Below are 20,853 nucleotides of genomic sequence, written 5' to 3'. Positions count from 1 at the left end.
ATTGCTGATACCCAGGCAAACAAGGACTGAAGTGGACCTCCAGCAAACTCCAACAGACCTGCAGATGAGGTGCTTGTCTGTTAGAACAAAAACTAACAAAGAGAAAAGAATAGCATCAACATCAACAAAAAGGATATCCACACCAAAACCCCATCCATAGGTCACCAACATCAAAGACCAAAGGTAGATAAAACCACAAAGATGGGGAGAAACCAGAGCAGAAAGGCTGAAAATTCCAAAAACCAGAGCACCTTTTCTCCTCCAAAGGAACTCAACTCCTCGCCAGCAGGGAATAAAACTGGACGGATAATGAGTTTGATGAGTTGACAGAAGTAGGCTTCAGAAGGTCGGTAATAACCAACTTCTCCAAGCTAAAGGAGCATGTTCTAACTCATCACAAGGAAGCTAAAAACCTTGAAAAAAGGTTAGACAAATGGCTAACTAGAATAATTAGTGTAGAAAAGAGCTTAAATGACCCGATGGATCTGATAACCTTAGTACAAGAACATTGGGAAGCATACACAAGCTTCAACAGCTGACTTGATCAAGCAGAAGAAAGGACGTCAGTGATTGAAGATCAAATTAATGAAATAAAGTGAGAAGACAAGATTAGAGAAAAAAGAGTGAAAAGAAATGAACAAAGCCTCCAAGAAATATGGGACTATGTGAAAAGACCAAATATACGTTTGATTGGTGTACCGGAAAGTGATGGGGAGAATGGAACCAAGATAAAAAAATACTCTTCAGGATATTATCCAGGAGAACTTCCCTAACCTAGCAAGGCAGGCCAACATTCAAATTCAGAAAATACAGAGGACACCACAGAGATACTCCTCAAGAAGAACAACCTCAAGACATATAACTGACAGATTCACCCAGGCCGAAATGAAGGAAAAAATGTTAAGGGCAGCCAGAAAGGAAAGTCAGGTTACCCACAAAGGGAAGCCCATCAGACTAACAGCAGATCTCTCAGCAGAAACCCTACAAGCCGGAAGAGAGTGGTGGTCAATATTCGACATTCTTAAAGAAAAGAATTTTCAACCCAGAATTTCATATCCAGCCAAACTAAGCTTCATAAATGAAGAAGAAATAATATGCAAATGCTGAGAGATTTTGTTACCACCAGGCCCCCCTTACAAGAGCTCTTGAAGGAAGCACTAAACATGGAAAGGAACAACTGGTACCAGCCCCTGCAAAAGCATGCTAAATGGTAAAGACCATCAATGCTATGAAGAAACTGAATCAATTAACGGGTGAAATAACCAGCTAGTACCGTAATGACAGGTTTAAATTCACACATAACAATATTAACCTTAAATGTAAATGGGTTAAATACCCTAATTAAATGACACAGACCAGCAAATTGGATAGAATTAAGACCCATCAGTGTGCTGTATTCAAGGGATCCATGTCATGTGCAAAGACACATATAGGCTCAAAATAAAGGGATGGAGGAATATCTACCAAGCAAATGGAAAGCTAAAAAAAGCAGGGGTTGCAATCCTTGTCTCTAATAAAGCAGACATTAAACCAACAAAGATCAAAAGAGACAAAGAAGGCCATTACATAATGGTAAAGGGATCAATTCAACAAGAAGAGCTAACTGTCCTAAATATATATGCACCCAATACTGGAGCACCCAGATTCATAAAGCTAGTTCTTAGAGACCTACAAAGAGACTTAGACTCCCACACAATAATAATTAGAAACTTTAACACCCCACTGTCAATATTAGACAGATTAATGAGACAGAAAATTAACAAGGATATCCAAGATTTGAATTCAGCTCTGGACCAAGCAGACCTAATAGACATCTACAGAACTCTACACCCCAAATCAACAGAATATACATTCTTCTCAGCACCACATCACACTTATTCTATAATTGACCGTATGATTAGAAGTAAAACACTCCTCAGAAAAAGTAAAAGAACAGAAATTATAACAAACTGTCTCTCAGATCACAGTGCAATCAATTAGAACTCAGGATTAAGAAACTCATTCAAAACCACACAACTACAGGGAATCTGTGTAATCTGCTCTTGAATGGCTACTGGGTAATTAAAGAAATGAAGGCAGAAATAAAGATGTCTTTGAAGCCACTGAGAATGAAGACACAATGTACCAGAATTTCTGGGACACATTTAAAGCAGTATGTAGAGGGAAATTTACAGCACCAAATTCCCACAAGAGAAAGCAGGAAAGATCTAAAGTTGACACCCTAACACCACAATTAAAAGAACTAGAGAAGCAAGAGCAAACAAATTCAAAAGCTAGCAGCAGGCAAAAAATAACTAACATCAGAGCAAAACTGAAGGAGATAGAGACACAAAAAACCCTTCAAAAAATCAATGAATCCAGGAGCTGGTTTTCTGAAAAGATCAACAAAATAGATTGCTGGCAAGACTAATAAAGAAGAAAAGAGGGAAGAATCCAATAGATGCAATAAAAAATGATAAAGGGGATATCATCACTGATCCCACAGAAATACAAACTACCATCAGAGGATACTATAAACACCTCTATACAAAGAAACTAGAAAATCTGGAAGATATGGATAATTCCTAGACATATACACCCTCCCAAGACTAAACTAGGAAGAAGTTGAATCTCTGAATAGACCAATAACAGATTCTGAAATTGAGGCAATAATTAGTAGCCTACCAACCAAAAAAAGTTCAGGACCAGATGGATTCACGGCCGAATTTTTCCAGAGGTACAAAGAGGAGCTGGTACCATTCCTTCTGAAACTATTCCAGTCAATAGAAATAGAGGGAATCCTCCCTAACTGATTTTATGAGGCCAGCATCACCCTAATACCAAAGCCTGGCAGAGACACAACAAAAAAAGAGAATTTTAGGCCAATATCCCTGATGACCATCGATAAGAAAATCCTCAATAAAATGCTGGCAACCTGAATCCAGCAGCACATCAAAAAACTTATCCACCATGATCACATCGGCTTCATCCCTGGGATGCAAGGCTGGGTCAACATACACAAATCAATAAGCGTAATCCATCACATAAACAGAACCAATGACAGAAACCACATGATTATCTCAATAGATGCAGAAAAGGCCTTAGACAAAATTCAACAGACTTTCATGCTAAAAACTCTCAATAAACTAGGTATTGATGGAACATAACTCAAAATAATAAGAGCTATTTATGATAAACCCACAGCTAATATCATACTGAATGGGCAAAAACTGGAAGCATTCCCTTTGAAAACCGGCAAAAGACAACTGGCCAGGGCAATCAGACAAGAGAAAGAAATAAAGGGTATTTGATTAGGAAAACAGGAAGTGAAATTGTCTTTGTTTGCAGAGGACATGATTGTATATTTAGAAAACCCCATTGTCTCAGCCCCAAATCTCCTTAAGCTGATAAGCAACTTCAGCAAAGTCTCAAATATAAAGTTAATGTGCAAAAATCACAAGCATTCCTATACACCAAGAACAGACACAGCCAAATTATGAGTGAACTGTCATTCACAATTGCTAGAAAGAGAATAAAATACCTAGGAATCCAACTTACAAGGGATGTGAAGGACCTCTTCAAGGAGAACTACAAACCACTGCTCAACGAAATAAAAGAGGACACAAACAAATGAAAGAACATTCTATGCTCATGGATAGGAAGAACCAATATCTTGAAAATGGCCTACCTGCCCAAGGTAATTTATAGATTCAATGCTATCCCCATCAAGCTGCCACTGACTTTCTTCATAGAATTGGAAAATACTACTTTAAGGTTCATATGGAACCAAAAAGAGCCTACATAGCCAAGATAATCCTAAGCAAAAAGAGCAAAGCTAGAGGCATCATGCTACCTGACTTCAAACTACACTACAAGGCTACAGTAACCAAAACAGCATGGTACTGGTACCAAAATAGACATATAGACCAGTGGAACAGTACAGAGCCCTCAGAAATAACACCACACAGCTACAACCATCTGATCTTTGACAAACCTGGCAAAAACAAGCAATGGGGAAATGATTCCCTATTTAATAAATGGTGTTGGGAAAACTGGCTAGCCATACGTAGAAAGCTGAAACTGGATCCCTTCCTTACACCATATACAAAAATTAACTCAAGATGGATTAAAGACTTAAATGTAAGACCTAAGACCATAAAAACACTAGAAGAAAACCTAGGCAATACCATTCAGGACACAGGCATGGGCAAAGCCTTCATGACTAAAACACCAAAAGCAATGGCAACAAAAGCCAAAATAGACAAATGGGATCTAATTAAACTAAAGAGCTTCTACACAGCAAAAGAAACTATCATCAGAGTGAACAGGCAACCTACAGAATCGCAGAAAATTTTTGCAATCTATCCATCTGACAAAGGGCTAATACCCAGAATCTACAAAGCACTTAAACAAATTTACAAGGAAAAAACAAACAACCCCATCAAAAAGTGGGCAAAGGATATGGACAGATGCTTTTCAAAAGAAGTTCATTTATGCAGCCAACAGACAGATGAAAAAATGCTCATCATCACTGCTCATTAGAGAAATGCAAATCAAAACTACAATGAGATACCATCTCACAGCAGTTAGAATGGCAATGATTAAAAAGTCAGGACACAACAGATGCTGGAGAGGATGTGGAGAAATAGGAATGCTTTTACACTGTTGGTGGGAGTGTAAATTAGGTCAACCATTGTGGAAGACAGTGTGGCAATTCCTAAAGGATCTAGAACTAGAAATACCATTTGACCTAGCAATCCCATTACTAATATACCCAAAGGATTATAAATCATGCTACTATAAAGACACTTGCACATACGTTTATCGTGGCACTATTCACAATAGCAAAGACTTGGAACCAATACAAATGTCTATCAATACTAGACTGGATAAAGAAAATGTGGCACATATACATTATGGAACACTATGCAGCCATAAAAAAGGATGAGTTGATGTTCTTTGCAGGGACATGGATGAAACTGGAAATCATCATTCTCAGCAAAATATCACAAGGACAGAAAACCAAACACCACATGTTCTCACTCATAAGTGGGAGCTGAACAATTACAACACATGGACACAGGGAGGGGAACATCACACTCTGGAGCCTGTTGATGGGTGAGGGGCTAGGGGAAGGATAGCTTTAGGAGAAATACCTAATGTAAATGATGAGTTGATGGGTGCAGCAAACCAACATGGGACATGTATACCTATGTAACAAACCTGTACATTGTGCACATGTACTCTAGAACTTAAAGTATAATAAAAATAAAATAAAATAAAATAAAATAAAATAAAAGCTTGCCTTTTTTGCAACAGCAACAACAACAAAGAAAATCAAAGTACAGATCTCATTAAAGACTTTTAAAATTGAATTTCAGTTTTGGGCCTAAGAATATACGTTTTAAGCCTCTATCAAACATATGCTTATGTTCATTATGTTTTATTATTCTCTAAGTGTCTTTCAGGTGCTGTGTATGTGACTGTGAATAAGATAGAAGAAAGTGTCTGCTCACATGGCAGATACTATAGGAGCAAGACGTAATAAACACACAGACAGATAATAAAGATAATTTTAGACTGCTAAAAACATTTTGGATGGTGTGTAGGGAGGTTATTTTGGGCAGGGTGGTTAGAAAATGAATTTCTCTTACAAGGAGCTATTTAGCTAAACCATCAAAGATTACAAGTAGACAACCACACATTAATGGAAGGAAAAAGTGCTTGGTAAAGGGCACAGTAAGCACAAACGTGCCAGATAGGAGAATCCTTTCATAGACAAGAGACTAAGAGAATCCAGCATATCTAGAAGAGATGAATGAGGGAGAGGGTGAGAGAGGTGTGTTGATCTGGTAACTTGTAGATATATAACCAAGCCCCACCCAAAGTCACTGGTGTAAAACAAGTATTTTGTTATGCTCACAGGTCATTGGGTCAAGGTTTTGGCCAGAGAATAGCAAGGATGACTTATCTCTGCTCCACTATGTCTGGAACCTCTTGGAATCATTTGGAGTCTTCTTCACTCTCTTGCCTGGCACCTGGACTGGGAAAACTTGGAACCCACTGGGACTGTTGACCAAAGCACAAACATGTGGCCTCTTCATGTGGCTTGGGCTTTCCACAGCATGGAGGCTGATTTCTGAGGAGAGGCCCAAAAATAATATACACAAAGTAAGTATTTCACAAGATCTAAGCATAAGCAACATGATCTTTGATAACCTAGTCTATGAGGTCCCATAGGATCACTTCACCCATATTTTATTGGTTAAAGAAGTCATTCAGATTCATAGGGTAGAGATATAGAACACTGTCTCTCAGTGGGACAAATACCAAGAAATTTGGGATCACTTTTTAAAAACCTACACATAGACAGAAGCAAAGTAATAAAGGGTCTTTTAAACCATCATACAGAGTTTAATTTTAATCTAATTGCAATAAGAAGCCATTGCAAACTTTCAAGTAGGACATTATGATGTACGAACAACTGACTTAAGGGACTTTAACTTTATTCCATTGCATAATAAACACTTAAAAAAATACCAAGAAGGAATTTCATAAAATCTTGCTAATGACCATCAATTAAAGGAGAGGAGGCTCATGTTACTTCCTATTTTTTTTCAAACAACATGCCATAACCAATATTTTGAAAAAATATATTGTGTTAGGCCAGGCATGGTAGCTCATGGCTGTAATTCCAGCACTTTGAGAAGCCAACGTGGGAGAATATTTTCAGTTTAGGAGTTCAAGACCACCTGGGCAACATAGTGAGAACTCATCTTTAATTAAAATGGAAAAAAAATTACCCAGATGTGGTGGCACATGCTTGTAGTCTCAGCTACTCAGGAGGTTGAGGCAAGAGGATCACTAGAGCCTGCAGGATCAAGGCTGCAATGAGCTATGATTATGATACTTCACTCCAGCCTGGGTGACAGAGTGAGACCGTATGTCAACAAATTAAAATAAATAAATAAAATAGATGATCTTAGAATTTTAAAATATGGAAAAGCCCTCCTTGATATTATCTAGTAAATCTCCCCCATTTTCATGATGAGAAAAATGTGATCCAGAGAGGTGAATGACTTGACAAAGATTTCAGAGCTAATTAGTGGAATATTGCGTGGTCTAGGTAATAAATGAGAAATTTGAGTAGAGAGAAAAAAAACATACTTAGATATTATGCTATGATCATACACTAGTGCAATTACCCCTTCCATTTTCCAAGTTATAAAACATTTTCATGTGCATTATTTGATTTGGTCATCATTACTCTATAAAGTAGCAAGGGTGGGCATTAATGTCCCTGTTTTATAGACTGGGCAACAAAGGCTTAGATGAGTCACATAGCTAATTATGTGTAAAAGCCTGAATTAGAAATGCATATCACCTGCTTTCCATTTCGGGATTCTTAGTCAAATGAAGAAAAATAGGATATATTTATCAAAATAAAGAAAAGTATATATCAAAGCTATAACTATTCAATACTAAACACACCACCATGTAAAGGAAAGCAATTTTCCAAGACTTCAAATGTTTCCAAACATCCATAAGATGGATATTTATATATAAAGTATGGAGAAAATTAGCTAATGTTCCCTTTTCAAACAGGCTTTCTGGTATTTTTTAAGATCTTTATGCCAGGATGCAATAAAAAATTAGAAAACACTGATATCCACATGGAGAAAGTTTACACTTCTTTGCAGAGGGTTACTGCTTGACCTTCTGTTTTGCTTCGGACATTCTGTATTTGTTTTGGTGGAGATACAGCAGCTGCTCCATTCTAGATACTCAGTAGATGTCAGAAGCGAGTGAAGCAAAAATTTTGCTGAGAAAAAAAATGACACATCCGATACAAATGTTTATTGAAAGTATATTTTGGTTACTAATTCCATATCTGTCAACATCTGGCCAACTTCCACATCTTGCAAATTTTTCATTCTCTACTCTTTCAAGCTACCTAATCTATTATCTTTATTCTCTTGGGCTCCTTAGTTGTAAATTGAAACAGGGAAAATGGTCAATTATTTTGGGATAAACAAAAAGTTAATATGTATCTCATTTTACATATTTCTCATAACTAAAACCATAAACATATAGTTTATAAAATGAAATAATACCTTAATTTTACATGTATTTAAGGACTTAAAGACAGTCTACTGAGGGGTAAAACATAAAAGAAATAGCTTTGGTCCTTAAGAGGCTTGCTTTCTGGTGAGGGAGACAAAATAGACATTTAAGAAGTGGTTATAAAATCCAAATAAGTTTAACAGTAAGAGCAAAAATATGTGCTGCAGGGAATAGGCACTGTTCTGAGTTTAGGAAACTATAGTAAGCAACTCCCTTAAAGGCAATTTGAATATAAGCAGTTTCGTCTGGAGCCATAAAGTCATTCTTATTCAGAGTAATGAGAAAAATCAGAACATTAATATAGAGTTATGCTAAATCTTAAAGGATGAGCAAATCTCATTGGCAGAAGTGGATTTAAAGGTCAATTTGTAGAACTTTCTGGCTGAAGTTTTAATAGTAGGCAGTGGTGGAGAACAAGATAAAAATGGAAAAGAACAGGGGAAGAACTTTAATAGTCAATATTAATAATTAAAAATTGGTTCTAAGTCAGGAAGAAGTTGAAAACTTTCATCACGAAAGCAGTTCTGTGACAGCAAGGTTGCCCACACCATCTTCAATAAAGTGCAGTGGCGAATATTTTTGTACCTCCACCTAGCAATAGAAGGAGTCTATTTCTCTACCCTTTGAATCTGAGCGTGGCCATATTGCTTGCTTTGGGGCATTGGAAAATTTGATATAAGCAGAGGCTTAAATAGTTCTTGCAAATTTGGTCCTGCTCTCTCTTGCTGTTGAAAAGCCTTAGGCCAGCATAAGAACAAGCCCAAGCTTGCCTATTGGAAGAAAGAGACTAGTCATTCTGGACATTCCAACAATCCTAACAGATTGTCCAGACATGTGAATAAGGCCATCTGAGAATTTTTAGACCCAGACAAAATGACAGTTGACAGCAGAGATGAGCCAAGTTGCTCAAGACCAATAGAACCACCTATTGACCCATAGAATTGTGAGCAAATAAATAGTTGTTTTAAGTCCCTGTATCTTAGTGTAGTATGTTACATGGCAAAAGTTAACTGACATAAAAAAACTATAGAAATGGCAAACATATGAAAACTTCATGTATACTCTGGCAAAGTCAAGTTTAAACAAGCACCAGCAGAATTATTAACCAAAGCTTCTTCATTCCTAAGACTAAATAAAGTCTCAGTCCTCTATACATTCATTGCACAAATCTTACTATAATGCTGTTTCCTTTGGATAATGTCACCCACTTAGCCATTAACTCTGAGGGTCAGAGATCATGTATACTTTGATTGCTGTTGTATCCCTATTATTTTTTGTAGTGCCTAGTATATAGTATGCTTTCAATAAATGTTTGTCGGATAAAATGGCTACTAAGATAAGCCACCATACATGATAGCAAAAAACATACATGTATGTTTCTCAAGACATACATGAATTCCTCAAAGTTAGCCCAGAATCTTATCTATATAGAAGACTTTTCCAGGGCCATTGAGTAGGACTGGCATCCTGCCATATAATAATTTATTTGATGCTTGTTATTGTCTTTCCAGCTACATATAATTTTGACTCCTCAACCAAGATGAATCCAGTGCTCTATCCTGGTTAAATTATCTCAGGCGTTCCCAGGTAACTTTGCTTCAGGTTTGACCCACCCTGACACTACTAGTGTGCCATGACCTCATAGATGAAAACTGAATATTACTTTTTATGCCATTTAATCACATTAACATGAATATCACTATTTTTATTTAAGTATTTCCTAAATTTATGCCTTCGCTCCATAATCAAATAGGAGAGTTTCTATTATTTTCGACAAATCATGTGAATGGCAATATGTTGGGCTTAATTTTCTCGTCAATTATAATTAATACCTTTTCAAAACAAACAGGAAAGTATCTCATCTCACTCAATAACAACATAACACCAAAAATAAATCTATCAGATTTAATTTGACTGAAAATTAATGTCTACCACTTTGCTTTTTTCCATGGTAGATTAATTTCTGGCTCTCGATTATGTATCCTTCCTAAGAAAATATCTGTAATTAAACTTAAGACCATGTTCCTACTTGAAGACATGCATAAACTGTATATTAAAACTATAGACCAGGGCGTGAAGACATTGGAGTCATTTCCTTATCTCACATCAACCCACTTCCCAACCTATTTCTAAAGAAGGACTTGCATATTATGTGACTGGAATCTAGGTTATACCTGTTTTTTTTGTTGTTGTTGTTATTTTTTTGTTTGTGAAAGAAGAATCTTTAGCGAGTTAAAGGTAAGAAACATGGAAGTGGAAAATACATTTTCTCATTTTTGTGGCATGTAATTTCATTTGTTCTCTGTGATCTCCAGTTTCTCATAACAATGAACTGATTTTGAGTGTATCCACGATGTAATTGTCCTGCTTTGGCTTCTACTAGATGAAGCTGAACTTCAGCAATGTTTCAGGAAAAAATCTACAACATCTTTCTTTTCAGGGGCAAACCTTAACCTGAAGACAACATGGATGCTTCCTTTTTATTTGTATGCAGAGCTTCTGTTAGGTGGCAGAAGTAAAGGATCCTATCCAAATAACTTATGGGCTTTTTTTAAAAAAAATAGCTACAGAACATTTGATTTACAGCTACTTCAACAAACTGTTGTACTCATTATTGTTGTAAGTTGAGGCGCTTAGATTGTTTTGCTTCTCAAATGCTCTGTGCAATTGCAACTGTTAAGGAACCATAGTGATACATCATAGACAAAATCAGAACAGTATTAAAATTTTTAGTTCACAATTATTCCAAACTGTATATAGAAGATGTTGTGTCTTAATGCTGCCAAGGTACTCAGACTGCACTGAATAACGTTCTTATGAATTAATTTAAACAAAAGTTAAAGAACTCTTATTCTAACAAATTGAATGCAAAGGCCTCATTGTCTACAATATTTCATGTACTAACACTAGGAATAAAAAGTGCTACCTAAAACTTTAAATATTCTGAATGCTTTCTACAAAAACTTTGATCTATGATTTAGAAGTATATCAATATTCAGGAGAGAAATGGCTTTATTAATTATATGACATGCATTTCATTAACTAAAAGGGTGAAAGTTAAGCAACTAGCATATCCAGAGATGAATTAATTCACATACTAAATGATCTGTGAGTAAAGCTTAGAAAAATCCGATTGACTACTTTTAATTATCTCACCTGGCCTACTCAGTTTATAAACAAAATCACAAATTCACTGAATAAATGTATTGATTGTTCCATTGTGTGTTCAGACAAAAGAGCATCCATTCCAACAAGTCTGTGTGTGTCTGAATTGAAAATGTTTCTAAAAGTTGCACTGGTAAAGATTCCAACTTCAGCATTTAAATCTCATTAATTTAATTTGACAACATGTTATCGATTTTTTACTGTGTTATTGCATGGTACTATATTTTATAGTGAACACTAAAGAGAGAGCTCTTGTTATTTGGGGAGCAAACTGTAGAATTCTTTTGTGGAATAGGGTTCTTTAGAAGCACATCTTAGCATGGTTGTTTGGTTGTATGCACCCTGGGGTATCCATAATGAGCTTGGGACTTGACATGCTCATATGGTGATCTATATAAAAAATACCTGCACTGGGAGAATGAGAACAGCCAGAGAAGAAGGAGTAAGGAGGACCTGGTGGGACAGGGTTTCAGCAGGAGGCCAGCAGAATTTAGAAGAAAATCTGCCAAAGACATTTGACTAGGGAGATTTTTACAAGAATCTCTCATATTGTGCTGCAATGAAATATCCCCTTCTCTACTCCAGTGCTGTTGTCCTCAAATTGTATTTAAAAGTTATATATGCCTAAATGGCTTGTACATGTCATTAAAAGCAGGGGGAGAGGAATAAAGGAAGACAGTCTGGGTCACACTGTTTAGTTATGTTAGAGGAGACAGGAAGAAAGACCAGCTACAAGTGATTCTTTTTAAAAATCGTTAGAAAAAAATCCTAACCTTTTAGAAATGTAAATATAATACCAGGAACTTTATTTTTTGGAATGATTTAAAGATAAGTTACCATGTTCTCTCAACACTCTGGAATATTTAGTGCTTATTTCCTGTAAACACAAATTCTCTCACATTTCTTAATTAATACACATTTGTATTAATATCAAAATAAAGAGACTAACTCAGATGTACTGTCACCATGTAGTTCTCAGACCTCATCTAAGTTTTGACAGATTTCCTAATAAGAGCCCTTTATAGCAAAAAAGATCGGCTTTGGCAACACATTTTGCACTTAGTCACAAGGTCCCTTTTGTCTTCTTCAACTTCAATGGGAACAGTTCTTCAATCTTTCCTTGACTTTTATATCATTAAAATTCTTGAAGGGTAGAAGCTGTTATTTTGTAGCTTGTCCCTCACTTTGGTTTGTCTGTCTGCTTTTTTAAAATAGTTATATTCATATTCTACCATGGCAGAAATATCACTGAAGTGATGCTGTTTATTCATTTTGTTTTGTTTTAGATCCTATCGTGTGTTACAGAATTTAATTTTGTCCTGTTCCATTACTGGTGATATTAACTTTGATTATTTGACAATCTTCCCTAGAGTCTGCCAAGCTTTTATACTATAAAGACACTCATTTTTTCCTTAAAATTAATTACTTTCCAGGAGGTACTTTGAGGCTGTATAAACATGCTGTTTTTTACCAAAATTGTGATATATTAATATATTTATTTATATCAGCATGAAGTCATAGGATTCCTATTTTAATCACTGGATTACAATCTTATTTATGTTGTTTATTTATATTTTATTTTTGATAATGCCACAGCCATTATACCAATTATTTATTTTGATGTAAATACGCCTTACATTTGCTCAATAGGAGACTTTTCCTTCTGGCACCTCGTTTCTTGGACATGTAAAAAACAATATTTTAGAACCTTGTGGTTTGGCAAACTAAGATGTTTCAAGATCATTTAATATTGTCTTCATCCCCGACCTGAGATCAGCCATTATCTGCAAGGAGCCCTGGTTCCTTTTAGGTAGGTAATGATATTTAGAAAACAATATCTGGTGCTGGATGTGCTTATCTACCTGGGGATATCACTGTACCTAGGCCCTGTCAGTGTACAGATACATATATTTACCCATTTATCTATCATCTATCTACCTTCCTTCATCTACTTATCTACCTACTATTTAATCTTTCTTTCATCTATGTATCTATTTATCCATCTATTATCTATCTATTAAAACCATGAATTCACACTCTTATATTTGATTTAAACACAACACCACATTTCTAGTGGTGTATTCTAGTTTTTTAGCTTTTGATGTTCACAACTTCCTTCAACAGTGAGACAGTTAGCTCCCATTATCCCTAATTTATTTACTTATTTGTTCAATTTACCCGAATACAATCAATCTCTTATTCTTTCTATCCCATGTCTCTGTAAGCACCCCCAGTATGGACCCCCTCTCACCCACTCTAGCTCTAATACCTTATTCTAAGCTACTGTGGCTCCATCTTCCTCCTTTGCTGTGGTCTTACCTAATAGCTTTAAGACTTAATTGAAAAAAAAAGAGGGGGAGGAGATAAGGAAGAGAAGGAAGAGAAAGTGGAAGAGAGAAAAAAATTCTAAATAATGAGGTGGAAAGTTAACTGGAATAGTAAATCATCATGAGAGAAGATCAGTTAAACAGAAGCTTTTTGGTAATTCCTCTCAAGATATGAGGTAAGTGGAAATAAAAAACATAGTATTTAGCCATCAAAGTAGAGGCAATCCCAGTTAATATATAAATGAAAATTAGAACTAAAAAGAATTCTATAAATAAGCACTCTCTAGAGCAATAGAACAATTAGATATTATTCCCAGGAGATTTCTAGACACAAGTATGAATGAGACAATGGTTATCTTAGGCAAGTATAAATTACATATACATGTGTTCATTTAATCACTTATATTCATATGAATATTTGAGTTCTTACGATTTGCCAGACATATCACAAGACATGAGGAATACAAAGATAATGATTGGTTTTCTGACCTTTTTTCCCTCTCTAATTATTTTCCCTTCAGTCTATTCCCATCCCAATAATTTATTGTTGGTATATCTTTCTCGTCAAAAAGAAAACAAGATTTAATGAATTGCTCATATCATAGTGAACATAATTTTAGTGATTTATCTATCCCAGTTACATTTGAATTTTGTGCTATAATGGCAGAAGCAGGATCCAGAGAAATTGTGAAATTTCAGCTACTGTTACATTATACGTATGTGGCTATTGTTGAAAATATTTGATAATCAGTACAGCAGAGGACCAATAAAAAGAGATAGTAGGCCGGGCGCGGTGGCTCATGCCTGTAATCCCAGCACTCTGGGAGGCTAAGGCAGGCGGATCACGAGGTCAGGATACGAGACCATCCTGGTTAACATGGTGAAACCCTGTCGCTACTAAAATAACAAAAAATTAGCCGGGCGTGGTGGTGTGCACCGGTAGTCCTGGCTACTCGGGAGGCTGAGGCAGGAGAATGGCGTGAACCCGGGAGGCGGAGCTTGCAGTGAGCTGAGATCGCGCCACTGCACTCCAGCCCAGGAGACAGAGCGAGACTTCGTCTCAAAAAAAAAAAAAAAAAAAAAAAAGACATTGGTCAATGTTATTGGGCCACTTGGGTGTGTTAATTGGCCCTTATAGAAGTTAAGCTTCTACCTTCCCACAGATACTGGGAGATAGGGGCACTAGCTTTCTCAATGATTACATTTCAAAGAGATGGCTTCCAGGTCCTTAGGAAAGACCATTCCTCGGTCGTAAAACTAACAAGTGACTGGGAGAATATCTACATCTCAAAGTGACAGAAATGCTCAAAACAACAAAACAAAACAAAACAAAACACAGGAGGTCAGGAGCCTATGTTCAAGAAGAAACTGTTTAAAGTTTAGTGAAGCAGTGGGGGAATAATATGGACCTCTTACTCATTATGATCTACACTATAATTAAGAATATTCACATTTAGTGATGTTAAATAATAACAATAGGGAGCTTATGAAACATCACAAACGTAAGTGGTCTTGGGGTCTCTTCCTTTTCTTTCTAGGCCCTGCTTAATTCATTCCCTCCAGGCAGCCTTCCTAGTTTCACATTGTAAAATCCTCTAGGAATGGGCTCACTACTTTCAAAATGCTTATCACATTTGCAATTAGTTGTTTAATGACTATCATCTTGTTAGGTTACCAGCTCTCAAAGTATGCACCTGGCAAGATCTTGCACACTGCTCTATCCCTATTACTTAGAACAATGCTTGGCACCTATTAACTGAGCCAATAAATGTTTTAGTGAACAGAGGAGCAATGGAGTCAGAGAGGGATAAATATGAGAAGAACTAGGAAGGAAATTCTTAAGGATCAAGTTGTCTTTTAAATCCATTAAGGATTTATTTTGGCCCAAACTTAATTCTTTCCATAAACCCGTGCTCTTGCTCTGTGCCCTATTGTCACTAGCTGATTGAGAGTTCCACAGAGGTAGGAACAACTCCTTTTCTATTAGATTATAGGTTTGTGAAGGAAAGGGGCCTTTTGTCCCTTTATCAGACTCTGGATAGGTAGCCTGTAAATATGGAAAAGGCTTATTAACTAATACCCCTGAATGGATTTTTTTTAAGAATGATGAGTGAATGATATAGCTATTGGCATAATGTGTAAGGTTGCCCATGCACCCATTTTGGAAAACTTAGTTCTTTATGAAAATTGTTTTCAGTGAGAATGTAATAAACATTAGGATGTTTGTGTTGAGATCATTCTATTTTATTTATTTATTTATTTATTTGAGACCGAGTCTCGCTCTGTCACCCAGGCTGGAGGTGCAGTGGCCCAACCTCTGCTCACTGCAACCCCTGCCTCCCAGGTTCAAGCAATTCTCCTTGCCTCAGCCTCCTGAGTAGCAGGGATTACAAGCACGCCCCACCACTCCCGGCTTATTTTTGTATTTTTAATAGTGACAGGGTTTTGCCATGTTGGCCAGGCTGGTCTCAAACTCCTGACCTCAGGTAATCCACCCGCCTTGGCCTCCCAAAGTGCTGGGATTACAGGTGTGAGCCACTGTGCCCTGCTGAGATCATTCTATACATAAAACTTCTGAAGAGCCAAACTCTTAAAGAGTAGAAATCAAGATATCTCTGTTGTGTGTCTTATTTGATACAGGTTAATGCAGTGACATGATTATTAGTGATAGACAAAGCCATATAAAAATTCAGGATTCTTAACCACAACAACAAATATTGATTTACCTTACAGAATGTTCAAAGTGGTTCACTGTTGTTGAAAGGGTGTATAGAGTAATAAGATTGGGTCTCATTTAAAAGTCTGATTTTTAAAACGTTCCACTGAATCTGTATGGCATTTAAGAACTTCTTCAGATATTTTTCCTGTGAGCCTGGCACTGGAGTGGTGCCTTGGTTCAAGCAGTTCACAGCTGGGAGTACTTCACTTTTTTCATTCTCCTTCCGTTCCCCACCCACAACACTCAACAGTTCATAGAGTCAGCGGAACATATCAACACCTCTTCATAGCCACAGAACTTTCTCAGGATGTAGACATAATAGAAATTTTAATAAAATAAACACAGCTAATTAAGTAAAAACTATGACAAAACCCACCACACAGCAACTGACATCTAGTATTTTAATAGTTGTCAGGTGTCAGCTAAGGTAAAAGAGTTTTGTATTCCAGTTTTAAAAATAGCTATAGTAAAGGTATCTCTTATTAGTTCTGAAAAAATATTTTTCACAAATTCACTTAATATCTTCTTCTCTTTATTTCAACATTAAATTAACCCAGTATTGCTCTTTATCAAGAAATAGCAGGTAACCATAGCTAAGAAACATAAGGGTGGCTCCTATGTACTGTATGTTCAATCCAGGATAATCAGGATAATCAGGTTAAATCAGGTTGAATACCCCCAGATTCAAATTGAGATGACTGAAAGTAATATATCTTCAATTAGTATTGTATCTCCTTAAGTATTATGAGGGTTCTCAGTATACAATAGAATATTTTGGAGTAAATACCCAACTGACTTTAGCGTTAGGACTATGGATACTTATTATCTCCTATAACAATCAGTCTGGTAGCAAATATTTCCAGAATTCACGGATTTAGTAGTGTCAATGTTGAGGCTACTAGTCAGCTTCCTTCCAATTTCACTGGTTTTTCTATCCATGATCTCAAGATAGCAGTTACAGCATCCACCATCACTGGCTCTGTGCAAGGGCCAAAGGCAAGAATATTTGTGTCATCTTTTCCAATTTTATTTACTAGGGACAATAACATGCTTATTCTATAGTAGTCTCCAGGATGTTTCCTCTCCTTTCGTTTATCAGGTTTGTGGCACATACCCATGGATAACACATTTGCTGTAGAGAAGGAGAAGGACCATGATTGGCTTAGATTAGCCATCATCATTCACCTGTTGGGACTGTGGAAGGACTACCTTCCTTAATCATATAGAACTAAATTGAGATTTTATTACAAAGAAAGAGGAATGATGTATAAAATCTGTTAGGCAAGCAAAACAGGTGTTGGGAGTATCAAGTGTAATGATACATGTGGAGATATATGTTAAAATGTAAATCCACTTACAAATTTATAGTCATATTATCAGTACTTGAACCAACTAACAGATAGTCAGAATCAGTGTTTACTAGGAATGTGTATACAAATAACTAAGTTACATAGAACTAAAGTGTCCCGATCTCACATGAAAGGAAAAAAAAGTGTTTTTAATGAGAATCCTTTGCTGAAAACCATTGATTCAGATAATAGGGATAGAAAACGAAACAGAGAGGACTGAGAGGGCATGGATTCTAGCAATATACAGTAGATTAAATTATATATTTTCTTTGTTCCCTTCTAAATCTCCCAAGAAAACAAACATGTATAAACAGACACGTAAAAAAGAGAAGCATTTAGTTGATTAGTAATGTCCACAGCATTTGGTACAATGAAAAGCGGATTTTAAAAAAAGTGCAGGAAGCATTGAAAGTACAATGCCTACTGGTTAGCTATGTAAAACCACAAAGATAAAAGTGGATTTACAGTACAGGAGCGTGAAAATCAAAAATTAGAAATACCATGCAGTGCTGAAGTAAGTGGGGAGAAATGGGTCCAAACAGTGAGAAATTAGATGCAGGTTAATATAAAAAATAATTAGGTGCCTAAATCATTTCCCATTGAAGCCAAATAATTCTTCCTCCCTCAACCTGATAAAGGAATGGATGAGTTAACTCTGGTTAACCATAAAGGCTCTGGGCAAAGATTAAGAAGTAAAACAATATATTACTGGAAACATTCAGGTCAATTGAAAATCGAAATAATGAACAATGATATCCCCAGTTCTCCTTATCTTGTCTGCCACCAAAATGTTACTTTCCATGTTATTTCCTTCCACAAACACCTCACCTCAGGCAGGAGATGGCAGATTGGTCTTTGGGGAGACAGGCCAGCATAAGAGATAATAACCAGAGACGCTGACAATATGAGTTCGGTGCCCACTCTATGGTGCAGTGGACCTGTTGACCAAGTTCACTCCAAAACATACAAAACTGCAAAGCAGAGTTTTTGTTTCGTACTCTTTAAAGTTCATTCTTAGTTATGATCTGGAACCAATGATCATCACATATTTAAAGATAGATTTTTACATGAAAGAGATCAAAGCAAACACACAATGAAACAGAAAAATAATGAACTCAGAAGAAACAGTCATTGTAATATAATAATGCAACTAAAAATGTAATAGTGGAAAGATTAAAGAGAATGTTGAGAACATATAACAGAAAGTTGAAAAATAAATGCTAACTGGACAAGAAACGGGGAAAACAAAGCCTCCTCCAAAAGGTCCAATATCAAAATAAGTAAAATTTCCCAAAATAGAAGAATGTCCAAAATTGAAGAATGAGGGGAGAAGAATGTTCAAAATATAATACAGGAAAATTTCACTGGCCTGAAAACCAACAGTTACCAGATTGAATGATTGAACGTTTCTACCAAATGCCTAGCATATTGAGTGCAAACTGCTCCACACAAATTTACATCAAAATAAATGCAAAACATCAGGGATAAAGAGCATATCCTAAAAGTGTCCTAAGAGATCATCACCATCACTACCACCACAATAAGAACAAATAATATGTAAAGGATCTCAAGACAAATGAATATCAGCTTTTTCAATTACGTAGTATTGGAAGTTAGAATGAAACATTGCATTTAAAAATCTAATGGGGCCAGGCATGGTGACTCATGCCTGTAATCCCAGCACTTTGAGATGCTGAGCCAGGCAGATCACTTGAGGCCAGGAGTTTGAGACTAGCCTGGCCAACATGGTGAAACCCCATCTCTACCAAAAATAGAAAAATTAGTTGGGAGTGGTGGAGTATGCCTGTAGTCCCAGCTACTCTGGAGGCTAAGGCACGAGAATCACTTGAACCCATGAGGTCGAAGATACAGTGAGACACTGCACTCCAGCCTGGATGACAGAGCGAGACTCCATCTCAAAAAAAAAAAAAAATCTAGTGGAAGATAATATTTAACCTATACATTCCATAAGCAAATTATCCAGCAATTATGATGGATAAAATGAAGATTCAGCCAGCTATAATAAAATAGCCAGCTTAACTGTAGCTAGCTTAAATAATGGTACCTCTAATAGATACTTTACCCAAAAGTTTTTGGTGGATTTTCTTCATTAAAGTGAGGTAATAAATCAATAGAGAAGAGATAGGCTCCAGAAAGCAGGGGTTCCAAAAGGTAGGGTTTGGAACAGTGTTCCAAAAATCATTCCACAATGATTGTGAAATAATATCCAGAATTGCAGACATGTATTAGGCTAAAGAAAACAGATCAGATTGGAACGGTATGATACAGAGATTCAATAGAGTTATCTCATGTAAAAAATGTATTCTGTAAGACACCTGATTTATTTGATTATACTAATTTTTAGACTTATTTTAATGTTCTGTTGGAGAGCTTAGGGAAAGAAGTAATGATAGGTACCAAGTAAAGTAAAAAAAACACAACAAAAATTTTTAAAGGGTAGTGTGTTTAAAAATCTGTATGATACTTCTGTAAGGAATATGGAAGAAATAATAAAATATAAAAGGGAAAAACCCAATGATTTCATTTTAGGTTTATTTTACCTTTAGCCGATTAACTGTAAGTGCAGTTAGCTGTCAATCTCTCCTACTCTACTTACACTTTATGACTTTGCTCAATTTTCTAAAGCATATTTTAGTAACTTGGCCTCCGTATGAACTTAGATGTTTATGTTTCAGGAAGGTAATAGTAGGCTGTAAAGTAAAACAATTTGACAACAATCGTTTTTCAAAATTACACATATATATTATATATATATATATATATCTAAAGTGAGAAAACTGTCACTTATTCCAGAGAAAAGAGAAGAGTCAAATTTAACTTTGATAATTGTAACTTATTTAATGCCTTTTCTATGACTTTAAATGGGTGTTTTCTTAGCTCACAAGCCATAAATTTAGTTTTCTTGTTAATGCTAAATAGAATATATATAGCTTACTACTAAAGCTGATATGCTTTTTTTAAAAAAAAAAATCACATCTCTGATTTTGTACATATCTTTTTGTAAGAATGTCATATATTGTTCAATACATAGTATTCATTATATAACAATGTCTAAAATTAAAAATAATGAAACAAGGTATTAGCATGTTATTTGGAAATATGCAGATAAATACATACATAAAATAATATAATCCTAGAATACAGAGATAGTATCTTTATGTATTTTACC

The 20,853-nt window shown here is 35.9% G+C and overlaps 1 long non-coding RNA gene across 1 annotated transcript; it reads left to right on the top strand.

Annotated features, from left to right (window-relative positions):
- Positions 1 to 5,902: 5,902 nt before the first annotated feature.
- Positions 5,903 to 11,042, top strand: LOC124904031 (uncharacterized). Its single transcript, XR_007065852.1, has 2 exons — positions 5,903 to 6,150; positions 9,615 to 11,042. It is a non-coding gene; the product is annotated as an uncharacterized LOC124904031 (long non-coding RNA).
- The last annotated feature ends 9,811 nt before the right edge of the window (positions 11,043 to 20,853 follow it).

The sequence above is a fragment of the Homo sapiens genome, chromosome 17 (assembly GCF_000001405.40).
Source record: "Homo sapiens chromosome 17, GRCh38.p14 Primary Assembly".
Classification (NCBI taxonomy): Eukaryota; Metazoa; Chordata; class Mammalia; order Primates; family Hominidae; genus Homo; species Homo sapiens.
The sequence above is the reverse complement of the archived record's forward strand: the minus strand, read 5'-3'. Positions and strand labels throughout refer to the sequence as shown.